The 14,738-nt window shown below is 40.1% G+C and overlaps 1 protein-coding gene across 17 annotated transcripts in view, besides 1 other annotated feature; it reads left to right on the top strand.

Moving 5' to 3' along the window:
• PAG1 (phosphoprotein membrane anchor with glycosphingolipid microdomains 1) overlaps positions 1 to 14,738 on the top strand; it is a 144,259-nt gene that overhangs the window by 71,010 nt on the left and 58,511 nt on the right. For 13 of the 17 annotated variants that reach the window (XR_007060746.1, XM_047421992.1, XM_047421991.1 and 10 more), the window contains 2 exons: positions 10,423 to 10,550; positions 10,970 to 11,063. The exons of 1 other annotated variant lie outside the window; for it this stretch is intronic. The gene's annotated coding sequence lies outside the window, so the exon portion shown is untranslated. The remainder of the gene's footprint in view (positions 1 to 10,422; positions 10,551 to 10,969; positions 11,064 to 14,738) is intronic. 3 more of the 17 variants (NM_018440.4, XM_047421984.1, XM_047421981.1) reach the window with 1 other exon arrangement.
• Positions 5,753 to 5,802: an enhancer, noted in NCBI's record as "active region_27571". NCBI's record gives its function as "activates an Ori minimal core promoter by ATAC-STARR-seq in GM12878 lymphoblastoid cells {active_cell/tissue: GM12878}" and the evidence as "EXISTENCE:reporter gene assay evidence [ECO:0000049][PMID:35858748]".

Genomic DNA, 14,738 nt, shown 5'->3' with positions numbered 1-14,738 from the left:
GTGGAAACTGCTGTCTGCTGCTTCAGTTTTCCATGCAAAGATGCGGCCATGTTACCCTCGCGAGCATTTGTTGTCATGATTTTTACCAACTGTAATAGACATCGTGCTTTTGTACAAGGGAGTTTACAATCTTTCACGTCTGTTTTTTCCTTCTCCTTTCCTCTCTTTTTCCTTCTTCTCTTTCCTCTTCTACCCTTATTTGATCAACCAGGTGAGCCCATATTCCTTCTTTGACTAGATAGCCAAAGGTCTGCAGTAGTAAAGTCCAAATTTCACATCTCATTTAAAATGCCATTAGTCTGGATATCAAAACAATTAATAAAGTAAAACATGGGGTATACATAATACCAATTTGTTCTATAAACAAATCAGTTTGAAAGAAATATATTCTAGATAGTAAATAAATGGAAGAGCCTTAAAAAATAATAATGTACTGAAGAACAGTCGTATATGATAACTGGTTAATCTCTTCTTATACATATGTAGCTATATCATAAATATTCCACATTTAAGCAAGCATTTTGATATGCCTCATCGGGACATGGCATTGCAGAAGAATCTTTGGATGAGGGTTTTTGTTGTTTTTTTTTAAGGCACCAGTTCTAACACCAAATCACCTGATTAGGGGAAGAAGCACAGGTAGCGTAGGTGAAATGGCTAAGCCACCACAATGGAGGTGGAGGTGAAGGTAATGAAAAGTGGCCTGGGTTATGTTTGTGGCTCAGACCTCAGATAGCCGTGTGATTACAGCCAGGGCTCAGTTTCCTTGCCACTAAATTTAGAGACTGAACAGAAATATCATGGAGTTTGTTTCTAATTCTAAAGTATATTAATATAACTCTGAAATATACATAAGTACTAAACAATAGAACAGAAACATCATTATACACTAAGGGCTGAAAAAATGTACATAGAGAAACAGGGTGGACTCATAAGCATGAATTTTGAGTGACTTTTCAAAGACATGAATTAACCAAGAGGGGAGTCTAAGAAAATAAGTGATGTAGCATATCAGTCTTAAGATACTGTGTCCCAGTAAAGCAAAAAAATTCCCTAGGAATTTTGGTTGATATAAATTCTTACAGAGCTCTTTAAAATTTTTCCTCACAATTAAAATAATTATTGAAAGCTGTTTCATTAAGTATGCTGCATATTTTTTGGTCATTCATCTCTCAAGCTATCACTGGAAAAAATACAATTGAAAATGCAGATTCCCTCTTTGAAATTGTATAATGAATTGCGTGAACCTACCTGTTATTTTGATGTTCATTTGAAGTTATATAATTAAGAAATAACTCCATATAGCAGATGGATTGATGTGTAAACCTCTTGATATGAGGTATGTAAAGTAATGAGAATTACCTTCCTTACCCTAATCTCTGTGTCTTTAAGTCAGGACTGGAATATTAGGTAACTTGACCATCTTTTCATGCACTGACCCTGTATTCTAGGGCTGCCATAACAAAGTTCCATGAACTGAGTGGTTTAAACATCCAGAATTGATTGTCTCACCATTCTGGAGGCTGCAAGTCTGAGATCCCAGCGTCGGCAGGGCCGTGTTCCCTCTGATGGCTCTAGGCAAGGATCTGTTCCAGGTCTGTCTCTTAGTTGCTTGCAGTTCCTTGCCTTATGGCAGCATACCTTCAGGCTTCACATGAGATTCTCCCTGTGTGGGTGTCCCTGTGTCCAAATCCCCCCATTTTATAAATATACCAATCACATTATATGGGGGCCCATCCTACTCTAGTGTGACCTCATCTTAACTACTTATGGTATATCTGTGATATGCTATTTCCAAGTAAGGTCACATTCTGCAGTCCTGGAGGTTAGGACTTAGAGACATGAATTTTGGGGGACATAAATCAAACCTAACAGGCTCAGAAAAGCGTCACATAGGCACATGCACACACACACACAGAGTATAAGATTCTCTAATTGTGGCCACCCTGTGAACATGGACTCTTATTAGAGTCCATCATGATACTTGTAGTTCTTCTAAACACCATATTTTACCAATCATACTGTAGCTAACATTTACTGGGCACTTAACTATTGCAAAACTCTTGTTAGGGTGTTTAAACATACATTAGTTCATGTGTCATTTCCCTTCAAGTGAATCTCCTTGACTATCTCTGTGATAGTGAGCATTACATCTCACTGAATGTCTCAGAATTTCTCTAAAGTTCCATGTAGATCATTTAGTAGTTACTTTCCTTCAGAGAAACTAAATGTCATACATATGTTAGCATCTCTTAAAACCACCCTAAGTCATGCGAGAGTGTACACACGGGCACATTATCAATGGCAGAGTTCTGTTGTGGTATCTGCAAGCAGCATTGAAAGTCTAAGATTGAAGTGGTCAAATGTGTGTGTGTTCTCTCTCATAACACACACACATACATATATATGTACTCATTACATATATAGAGTGTGAAGGAGCAAGGAAGACACTTCAAACTACTTTATCCCATATGGTCCATCTGTAAAATGCCAACCTACCAACCCCCAGTTCACACACGGCCCTGCATACCCCTCTGAAACTCAGGCATTTTACGGACAACAATCTTTCAAAATGTGGAAGCTGCCAGGCGAATAACCAGAGCTTAAATGTCTCTCTCTTGACCCCACAGGCAGAGCCATTGCCTCAGGTCAACACAAACAGCCCAGCCAGTTTTGCAGAACCCCAAGAACGGAGGCCAGGGTCCTTTCTGTGGCTGGGAAGTTACCCCGTGGCTGGGACTTTTCATAGCAGAGGAACTTCACAGCAGATTTTTGTGAATGTTTGGCATCTCAAACACATACCTGGGCAGACTTCAAGTTAGTTACTGACCCCACAACTTTCTCGGCTTCCTGGGGAAAGGGAAGTCTTTCTTGCCTGCCCCTCCCCGCCGACATGCATACCCATTCACACAACTTCTGCTGGGGCAGCAACCCTCCAACCCCATAACCCCTTGAGTGATCCCCAGATTAGATAACTTAGAAGTCAGAGAACTGTTTCTCATCAGGAAATGCCTGAGGCAGACCTGAGGCTTTGTGAGAGACAACCCGGTGTTCCAGGTGGCTACCCAGTTAGCTGCCCATGATGCACAATGGCAGGATAGGGCATGTGCATTAGGCCAAGACAATCAAAGCTCTATAAATGACAGCTAAAGTCCCAGTCCAAAAGAAAGTTCCTAAATGTGCAGAGTGGAAAGGACTGGAATAATATTTACTTTTTGTTCATTGTATTCATAAGCAAGGAAATAACATTGAGAGGTGAATAAAGAAAATGAACAAATGACTGAATGAATATCCTCTGTAGTTGTGCTGGCTATTATCTCATGCTTATTTACATTGCCTAAAAGAAGATGTTTTAAATTCTGTATTTTACTATCAATTTATAAGCTAATAATTAGAGGAGTCAATTTATATGTCTTCTATTCACTAAAGCAACATTTAAGTACTGAATCTAATCTTACTTTGTATTCAGATGCCTGAGAAGCATGCTATAGAGCTTCTCTTAAACACATCGTGCTGCACATTATAAACTATTCTATTCTGTGCCAACAAGAAAGATTTCTTTTCCTGTTTTGAACACTTCGGTCATTTGATTACTTCTCTGCTGATATTGAAACTGCAAGGAATTCATATCCAAGCCACACTTGGGATGGATGCATACGGATAAGGCTTATACTAAATTATGGCATTTTAAGCCTCTTTCCAGGTAGCATGCTTAGAAATAGAAGATTTTTGCTAGTAAAATGTCATTTTAAAAAAATCAATGTATGTATTATAACTGTATCTGTCTTACCTGAGTCCTGTATGTTGTAGATAGTATAAGGATACATCGTTAAGGATTTTTATCTTCAGCTTCCTAGAATTCAAGAAAATTATGGTCCTCTTGGAAAGGAGATTACAGAGTTTTCATTAAACCACACCACTGAAGAGGATTTGCAGAAAGAACTATTTTTCCGGTGTCATACTTATAATCTTTTTGATGCCTAAAGAAATCTGATTATTATTATATTTTGCCTTCATCTTATCTTCACAGTGGCCTCTTTTGGCAGCTCTGTGAACTACTCTTTCTTGCTGCTTCCATTTTTTCTGTACTCAACGAAAAAAAAATAAAACCCAGAAAACCCTCTTTTAATGGACTGCTGCTTTGCATACATCAGGGATTTCAGCTGTTCGAGTGTGTGAAAAATGAAACAGGAGACATCAGATGGCATGAAGACTAGAACTGTTAACACAGTAAATACCAGAAAGGCTGAAAGTGTGAGCCAAAGCAGCTGGGGAGTGGAAAAAACGAGAGGCACAGCTGGGAGAAGCAGCAAGAAAAAGCAGCCCCAGGAAACATGAGGGAGCTTAGCAGGGGGAGAAGAGCGGCTGATGAAAACAAGAATCCGAGGATAAGGGAGGCAGAAGCGTTGTTAGTTATGTTTTTCCAATATTGCACAGTGCATCATAGCCCATATGCATTGTCTTTGGCTACCTCTTTAATTGCTGTGTCATTGAGCATATTTAATACAGTTTTCTTGCATGATTACTATGGACTGAATATTGAAATATCAATGAAATATCTGTACTTTGAGGTTGATCTCTGTTATATTGATAATGTACTAAACCTGTCAGGGAATTCAGACAGGTTAATGAGAAATATCATGCATTAGTTTAAGGATACATTTTTTTTTCTACCAAAAGTATATCAAATTGCTAACATTTAGTATTTGGACAAATAAGGAATGTGTGTAATTAGCTGGGTTAATAACTGGTTTGGTAGGCATATCCAGAGAGCACTGATTAATAAATTGCTCTCTTCCTGAAGAGAGGTTTTTGGTATTTTAACTTTATCCAGTCTTAGTCCACATTAGGCCTCACATGAGTAAAACTGTATAAATGCATGCCCCAAAGTTGGGAGAGATAGCAGATGTAAAAACTGATGGAAACAGAATTAGGACCATCTTGACATTTAACACAGTGACCCAAATCTAAGAAGCAGAAATGTCACAGGGATCAGTATAAACACCCTGCTCCCCCAGTTAAATTGCAAAGGAACAGTAAGGAGAGATGAAGCTTAGCAGCATCATATTTCACAGAAATTTAGATTTTAGTCAAATATAAATGTATATACACATGTGTTAATATGTGTTTATAACTGTGTATATATGCATGTATATATATGTTAATACATATATACACATGTGTATATATGTGTGTATGTGTGTCAGGGTAGCTGTTAAAAAGGCTTCTGTGATCTTTGGCCTTCTAAATAATGTGGGTGGACAGAAATAAGAGACCTGTTCCACTCTTCACTGATGAAGTGCTTCTTCACCTGGAGAATTGCCTTTGAGCTTGATCTTTTAGAAGAGAACATCCAGAAAATGACAGTGCCAGCCCCCAGTACATCTCCTCCTGCCTTCCTTGTTCCCTCACTATTTGTTCCTCTTGCATGTGCCATCGTTGCCCTCCCCAAATCTGAATTTGTTCTGACTAAAGCAGAAAACACTTTAAATGTTTAAACCTACCCCACAGTCCACTGGAGCACATCACTAATTATACTCTCTCTGTGCCTCGCCCACAGTAGTATCTTGCCCAATGCCAGCTGTGTTTGTTTGCTGAATCTCCCATGTTGAGATGTTATTGCCCCAGTGAACACTAGGATGACTATGTCACATTCCAGCGATGTTATTGTCATGCAGATGTAGGCTCTGGTATCCTAAGATGATTCTCAGGCTCCCATAATCCTTACTCCTTGGCCTTCCAAGTTTCAGCTGTTTCTGTGTCTGTGTAACCAAGCGTCTGGGACTGAAGATCCTCTTTGGGTCTCATAGTCTGTGTTGGTCTTGCCAGGTGATCTTCTTGAGAACTGTGGCTCTTACTCTGAGTAGCTGCTCAGTGGCTAGATTCTGTTGCTGTGACTAGACCTCCAGGATGGTAATGGACGACCCTCCTGACTTCACCAACCTATTTACTCTTTGCTGATAGCTTTGCCTCCCTGCGATAGCTGGGCCCCAAAAATCCCCACCCACCGCCACCACCGACACCCAAATAAGGGTTATTTCCTAAATCAGGTCGATGTTGCCTTGTTCCTTGGAGGTTGTGCTTGGTTGTTGGGCTCCCCTCCCAGGTTGGGCTTTGTAGCTGCAGCAGGCTCTTCTACTCTGCTCTTGTGAGCAGACCTGGCCAGGGACCCGCTCCCTTCTCCTGGCAGCCTTTGTGTTCTTTTGAGTTATGGCAGGTGGTACATGAAATCGTATTCTTTGGAATAGAGAAGGAAAGCTCAAGAGCAGGGGAAGAGGAACTTCTTTAAATAGGTGTCTTCCAGTATCTGAAGGGTTGCCATGTCAGGGAACTATTGGACTTGCTCTGCATGGCCCTAGACCTTAAAACCACGACTCAAACAAGGTTGAAGCCACTAAGCCTCTGGAGCACAGAAGAACCTTTCTTACTCCTAGCTCAAATTTAACAACACTTCTCAGAGACAGAAAGGGATTCCTTGGGATGGAGGAAGCCCTTTATTGTGGCAGGGAATTCAGCATAGGTAGATTAGCAGGTCTAAGTTTTGTTTATTGGTTTATTTCCATTGCAACATAGATAAAGTATTGTATTTACTGGAATGATGTTTGCATGTGGGAAATATTGCTGCAGCAGTATGCCAGTCATGAGCAGCCGGTAATCCTACTCTCTTCTCTGTCTTCAGGGACTGTGAGTGAGAGAGGTTTTATTATAGCAACATCCTTGAGCCTACTCTGATTTTTTTAAAATGAATTCACTCAATCAGTGAATAAATATTGAGCAATTACTATATTCCAAGCACTGTGATTCATTCCATGCTCAGTACGTTGAACTGTTCTATTTAACCAAGTCCTTTTGACATGGCAGTTATCGATGAGATGTCACAGACATTGTAGAAAGGATTCAAGTATCAAGTGGGGTTGATTTATGGATGACCTTTAAGTTTCTTTTAAATTTGAGAATCTGTAATTGAGTTTCATGATTCTGGTCTCATACTGAGTAGTTATCTTGCCTCCAGGTACAGTTTTTAAAAGTCAGACATGAATTTGGAGTAGATTGCTGAAGTCTATTCTCCTCAATCCCTGTATTTGTCTACCCAGATAGCAGGGAGATACACTCTCAACATCATTACTCCTTCCCCAGAAGAGACTGTTAGGATATAACCTCGAGAAAACACTCCTTTCCTTAGACCCTCCTCAGCACTGCCAGCGGGGGCTCAGCCCAGGCCATCTGTCAGGTGCCCATCTCATCCCTCAGGGTTTCAGTGTCCCAGAATGGAGCTCTGTTTCAGTTCTGCTGGGTGGCTTTAGCCAGAACAAGAGTTCAGGTTAGTTTGGTAAAAACACATCCTGAACTGGAGTTCACTTGCTTGGGCCTTCTTATGAATGTCATCATTAGTATTAAGAAGTCACCAACCGTCCTCATGAAAACTGTCAGAGAGCCAGATGTAACAGAAACTGCTGGGCGTGGCATTCCATGGACAGGATATGTGGGTTTCAGGGAGAGGTCATGTTTGACTAAATCGTCAGTATCAGAAGTCCTAAAATTCCATTCGGTGGAAAAAGAAATCAATATTGAAGGTATGGGATTTCTGTTTGATTGGGTCAATAATCATTTGCAGTGATTAACCTTATTATCTCTATACCCTGATAACCTAATTATCTCTATCACCTTTGGAAATAATCAGCAAGATGAAAGGAGACCTGAAGAAGTGTTTGGTCTATCAGAATTATACTCAAGTTGTCCCAGTCAGGGCATGATAGTTTGCAATGGAGCTAGGTTATCTGCTTAGTGTAACAACTCCCATGATTCCAGCTAAAATTGTTTTGGGGTTTGCCATTTTTTTTTAAGACTGATCTGAAAAATGACTGATGCTTACTTATAACATCCAAATCCTTGGAATATTATTTTTCATAAGAGCTTTATTTAGATGCAATTCACATACCATACAAGTCATCCATTTAAAGTGCAACCATCAATTTTAGGACATTTTCATCACCCCTTCTCCCCTAGCCCTAAGGAACACAAATCTACTTTCTATCTCTATGTATTTGCCTATTTTGGACATTTCTTATAAACAGGATCATATAATATTTTTTTGTGACTGGTTTCTTTCACTTAGCATGTTTTCAAGGTTCATCCATGTTGTAACATGTACCAGTATTTTATTCTATTTTATGGCTGAATACTATTCTTCTGTATGGATATACCACATTTTGTATATACCCATTCACCAGTTGAGGGGCATTGTTTCTACTTCTTTGGGTATTACAAGTAATGCTTCTGTGAATATCTATGTGCAAGTTTTTGTGTGGACGTATAGTTTCATTTCTTTTGCTATATACCTGGGAGTGGAATTGCTGGGTCACATGGTAACTCTCTGTTTAACATTCTGAGGAACTAACAGACTGTTTCAAAGCAGCTGCGTTATTTTACATTCCCATCAGCAGGGCATGGGGTTCTGATATCTCTACATCCTCTTAACACTTGTTATTAGCTTAGACGTGTTTATTATGGCCAAGAGCAAATCACTAGGAAGGTATGAAGTGGTATCTCATTGTGGTTGATTTGCACTTTGTTGATGGCTACTTATGTTGTGATGTTGAGCATCTTTTCATGTGTTTATTGATTATTTGTGTATCTTTTTTGGAGAAGTGTCTCTTCAGATCCTTTGCCCATTTTTGGTTGGGTTGTCTTTTTATTATTGAGTTATAAGAGTTATTTATATATTCCATATATAAGTCCCTTATCACATACGATTTGCATATATTTTCTCCCATTCTTTGGGTTGTCTTTTCATTCTCTTAATATTGTCCTTTAAATTACAAATATTTTTATTTTAATGAAATCTAGTTTATCTGCTTTTTCTCTAGTTGGCTTGTGCTTTTGGGGTCACATGCCTCTGCCAAATCTGAGCTCATGAAGATTTAGCCCTTTGGTTTTTTTTCTAATAGTTTTGTAGTTTACGCTTTTACATTTAGGTATTTGATCCATTTTGCATTAACTTTTTCTGCGGTCTGAGTTAAGGATCCAACTTTATTCTTTTATATATGGCTGTCTAGTTGTTCCAGAACCATTTGTTGAAAAAGCCTGTTCTTTCCCCGTTGAATAGTCTTGGCACCCTTGCCAAAAACTCAACTGGCCATATAATTGAAGGAATATAAATATATGGGTTTATTCCTGGATGCTAAAGTATTGATCTGTATGTCTATCCTTATGACTGCACCACAGTGTCTTGATGACCTTGTTTCGTTGGAATATTTTTAAGTCGCAAAATGTATATTTTGAAAATTCAAAACTGTGCACCATTTTTATATTATTAAATTAACTGTCAAATCTTGTCTCCAGTTTTCAAGTCAGGATCTTACTCATATCTGGTGATAGAGAAAGCACATCCAAACATTATTTTTAATACACATTAATAGAATTTGACATTTTTTAAAAAATTGTTAGTTCTTTAAATTTTACCTTTTAATTGCAGCAATTTGATTTAGATAATTAAATCTTGCTCATATTTCTGGCTAATTCAGGAGAATTCCCTGGATTGACCATGATGACAAGAAAAAGTGGAGAGGTTTATGGTTGGAATCCACATCTAAATATATCTGCATGGCAGGGGTTCAGAAGGAGGCTTGACTTGAAGTCTAATAAAAGAGTGGAACGATGGCTTGGGAACTCAGTTGTCTATCAAGCCCTGCACCCAGCGAAGCTCTGTCTCCTAGTTGATGAGATTGACAGCAGAAAGACCTGGAGTCGGCTTAGAAGAAGACAGCCCATGATTGTGTGTCTTGTTCTGATCTTTTTAAACTTATTAAAAGAAAATAATAATGTAGCTAAATGCAGTGGCAAACAAAAGACAGCAGTTTCTCACTTTCTAACTGTCAGGGAAACAATAGATATACCTCAAGATAATATAAATATTCTGCTGACTCTGCTATCAGAGAAAGCAACACACAGTCTAAGATGATAATATGTGGTTCTAACAAAAGAACATCAGTAGATGCAAATCTAGAAGGCTCACGTTCCACTCCGTTTGTTATGTCAGAAATCAGGAATTATGCCTCAGTTGGTTAAAATGATTGAGAGGTTCTGAATCTTAGTCAACAGCCAAGATATTCTCCTTAGAGCATAAACACAGCCGTTCTTTCATCCGTTTGTTCGTTCGTTCATTCATTCATTCCGTCCCTCTCCCCTCCTCCCTTTCTTACTGCACTTGTCATGGTGTCTTATGTAAAGTGAGTGTTCAATATGGGAGAGACTTATTTGAGGATGGGAAGAGAACTAGAGAGGAAGGGGGCAGGAGGAAGGGCTAGGCACCAAAAACAGCAGAACAACAGGTAGGATTGGGGAGCTGTTGAATCAGGAGGGAGAGCGAGGGAAGTCGCCCATGTAGCCTCTCTTTTCTGAACATCTTCCCCATTTCCACAGCAGAATGCGTGAAGGGACAACTCGGGGCTAGATCTGCATGTCGTCCAGGTGACACTGTTCACGCTGCACCAAAGTCTCCTTCTAATAAGAAATTTTCAGAACTGAATCACAGCTTACCTTACCAAAAAGTATAAATGCTCTTTTCAAATAAATCACTTGTTTTATTTCAAATTCAGAAAACAGTTATTTGAATTTTAGTATCACTGTAGTAACACAGAGGTTTACTTGGCATAAACTAGGAAAAATATAGAAAGAGCAAGTAAATTGATTTGTATTTGATTAGACACTTACGTGGCTTTTTTATTAAAAATTTTTGGGTGGATGGGGAGATAGGAAGTTTTCTTTATTGAAATTTTTTTATTTAATTATTACTGTCTATAGTTGTGCCTCTACATTTCAGTTTGCTTTGTTCAGGAAGGAATATAAGAATATAAATCTCAGTGTTTGGCATAAGTACACTAGCATTTTTACAGTGAACTGAACAAGTATCTTTCACAGTGTATATCCATCTGCCTTTTTTTCTAACTTTCCTTCTCTTTGGCTATAGGCCAAGAAAGAAGAGAGAACTCTCACCACAACATTTCAAAGGGAATACATTGCCAGAACTTGGAATACTCTACTGGACAAACATTTCCTCCAAGGTAAATATTACCATTGTACCAATAAAGGGACACATCACTAGAATTTTTGAATGGCAGTGGTACAGCACAAAGGTTTAATTGTTTAGTCTCATACAGACCTAGAGTGACATAAGAGAAAGAGAGAGAGGGAGAGAGAGAGAAGAAAGCAGTGCTGTTGGGGTATCCTGCAGCCTCTTCTAAATGTGTTACCAGGAGAATGCCATCAGAATCTGGGAGCTCACTGAGCTGTACGAAAAATGTGTGGGAAATGAGGAGGAAAGAAGAGGCTGGCCTTTTTTCTTCGTGTTACAGATACTCGTGAACACAAAAGCCAGCGGGGTTCGATTATGAAAATAACATTTCATCCTTTATGAGGAAAAAAATGAGTAGTTTCCTTTAGAGGTTAAAATAAAATATATGCTGTATTCATGTCACAAGAGGGAAAAGCCTGAATCATAATATTTTACACCAACTGAGACAAGTATGAAAGATTTTAAGGAACTCCATGTTCTTCTATGAAAATACCTGCTAAGTAAGCCTTTAGTAAGCCTTTCATTGGTTTGTGAGGAATGCTTCATGAAGTTCTTGTTTTGGAAATCATATCTTTAATGCCTCTTGTGGGGAGGGGTGTGTGTGTGTGTGTGTGTGTGTGAGAGAGAGAGAGAGAGAGACCAAAGAAGGATCTGTCAGCATGATACTATAGGTTTCAGAGGAGTAACTCTAGGCGCTTTCTTTGTGAATCATGAGCTTAGTGGGAATAAAGGCTTAACAGAAGCAGCTGAATTCATAGTCAGCTTTGGCATTCATGAATTAGCTGCCAATGTTTTAGCACAAATTGCTGTGTCATTTCTATGAAGTTCCCCTGTCGCTGCTCAGTCTGTAGCTAAAAGCTGTCTTGTTTTATCTGATGAAACACCTCCTTCCTTATAAAGATATTTGTGTACCCGCACACAGAAATGCAAAAACATATGATCCCCCTTAAAAGAAAATAAACTTGTCAACTTTCTCTGTTTAGAAGTTAATATGATATGGTTGATACTACCTAGCCCTTAGTGTTCTGGAAGGCAGTTTCAGATTGGCCAGGGGAGAGTCCTGTTTTCCTCCTCGGTCCTCATCCTGGTTATTCTCTTCTGAAGGGCTTGGGGTGAGGGAAATGTAGGCTGTACATTAGAGGAGAATTTTGTGATACTATTCATTCTCTGTTCTGACAGAGAGGACATTGTTTGTTCACTGTAATAGGCTTGGCAGGAATCTGTGCTGTGCGTACAGAATGGGAAAATAGCAGAGCAGTGGGAAATCTCAAAATTCTAAGCAGCAGATCAGCTTAGAGATTTTGCAAAAATCTATTTTAATAGCTTCTCATTACTGTAGACGTAAGTCATAATTTGGAGAAACAGTTTTCCTTTCAGTGATAATTTTCTTCACATTGCATTATGCCTGTGTTACATGAAAAAAGTCTTTAAGATGCAGTATGCCTATCCAAGTACTGTAGTAACAAGAATTAAAATCATGAAAGTTTAGAAATACTTGATGAACACACTAGACCTGCTTTGATATTGCCCTTTGTACGTCAGCATTCACATTGGTACAAATGAAAATTAGCCTATGTACGTCATCTGGTGGTTCACAGAAGCAAGTGTATGCTGCCAAAGATAAGAGAAAAAAGACGCATTTAAAGATGTGCATTGAGGTAAGAGATGCACTGCTAGTGAGAGGGAGCCATGCTCCAAATGTTCAGAACTTTAAAGGCAACAACTGTAAAAGCAAAGGCTCAAAGCAGCATGCAAACCGTGAACTGGAAACTGAGCTGGCTGTGACTGAGGCCTGGCATTTCTGCTTCTTGAGGCTATGTGTTCCCACTTCTCCCTGAGCACAGAGACTGCACAATATGATGGGCCCTGATAGCCCCAGGTGTCTGGGGACCTTGTGTGTGTGCATGTGTGCCAGGCTGCTGTGTTCACAGACAGTGTGAGCTAGAGAGTGGGAGAGCCTGCCCCACACCCAGCAGCCCCAACAGCAGCTGTGGGGGACCCTCGTCTTTAGGCTTAAAGAGAAATTTCTCATGGCTGCCCAATCTTGGCCTATATTCTTTTTTTTTTTTTTTTTTTTTTTGAGACGGAGTCCTGCTCTGTCGCCCAGGCTGGAGTGCAGTGGCGTGATCTCAGCTCACTGCAAGCTCCGCCTCCCATGTTCACGCCATTCTCCTGCCTCAGCCTGCCGAGTAGCTGGGACTACAGGCATCCGCCACCACGCCCAGCTAATTTTTTGTATTTTTAATAGAGACAGGGTTTCACCATGTTAGCCAGGATGGTCTCGATCTCCTGACTTCGTGATCCGCCTGCCTCGGCCTCCCAAAGTGCTGGGATTACAGGCATGAGCCACCGCGCCCGGCCTCTTGGCCTATATTCTTAAGAACAGCTCCCTGGATATTTTTATAAAAACTACATAATATAAATTATGAGACTTTTAAAATTCTATCCGTAGTAGTGTCAGTATACAGTAGAGCATTGGATTATTGCAAATCCCTTTTTATGTAGCCTGTGTAAGGGTTAATCTTATGTAACAAAAGCAGGTCCTTTACTCCACCACTTGTGACATGATTCACACGTATTATCTGCTTTGTTGTTTTTAAGTTTCTCAGTCTTTTAAAATGTATTTGTTAGACAATCTTTTTGATGATGCATTTGTTCGTCTTTTTAAAAATGTATAGAAATTGGCCAGCTGTGGTGGCTCATGCCTAAATTTCCAGCATTTTGGGAGGCCGAGGTGGGCAGATTGCTTGAGTCCAGGAGTTCGAGACCAGCCTGGGCAACATGGCAAAACCCTGTCTCCACAAAAATTAACCAAGCATGGTGGTGCATGCCTGTAGTCCCAGCTACCTGGGAGGCTGAAGTGGGAGGATCTCTTGATCCTGGGAGGCAGAGGCTGCAGTGAGCTGAGATCATACCACTCCACTCCAGTCTGAGTGACAGAGCAAGACCCTGTCTCAAAAAAAAAAGTATAGAAATATATTTATATGATGATATTTTGAAGTACATCACAAAGATAGCAAGAAAAAACCACCAAGGCTTGAATAAACTCCCTTTATTCTTTCCATTTGGTACATTTTTTTGGTCTGTTTTTCAAGCAGTTTTTATTTTATTGTTTTTCACAGCTGAGTTAAGGATTACTGAGGGACGTGAGGTTGAGGCAGGGCCAGGTTCTCCTGCTCCCTCCAGGGACTCCTTGGAGGTGCTGCCTGCAGCAGCAGAACTGGCAGGTCCCTGGAAGACACCTTCGTGTGCAGGGTAATTGCTGGCCCATCTGTGACTCAGCAGCCATGCCTCCTATCCTGCCTGCTTGTTCCTTTCCTGCGGAATTTCCGGTAACCACTGAGACCTGATCTTTAGCACACACCAGTGACAGCTGGGTCTCCATACCCTGTGACCACAGTTCGCCAGAAAGCTGGGAGAGCCTGCAGGCAGCTAAGTTAGTGTGGGCACCAGCCTCATGTGTGTCATCATCGTGGCTCGGGGGAGGATGCCCTAAAGCAAGGCGTGCAAGGGCCTTGTTTCACCAATGCTATGTGTCACCATCTAGTATGAAAGAAAATGTTTATCGGTCGAGGGAAATTGGAGTAAACACTTACTGACACTCTTTTATTTTGGGGTTTTTTTGTTTTGTTTTTCTGAGACAGGGCCTTGCTCTGTTGCCCAG

The sequence above is a fragment of the Homo sapiens genome, chromosome 8, assembly GCF_000001405.40.
Source record: "Homo sapiens chromosome 8, GRCh38.p14 Primary Assembly".
In the NCBI taxonomy this organism is placed as follows: domain Eukaryota; kingdom Metazoa; phylum Chordata; class Mammalia; order Primates; family Hominidae; genus Homo; species Homo sapiens.
This window is presented reverse-complemented; position numbering and strand designations above follow the sequence as displayed.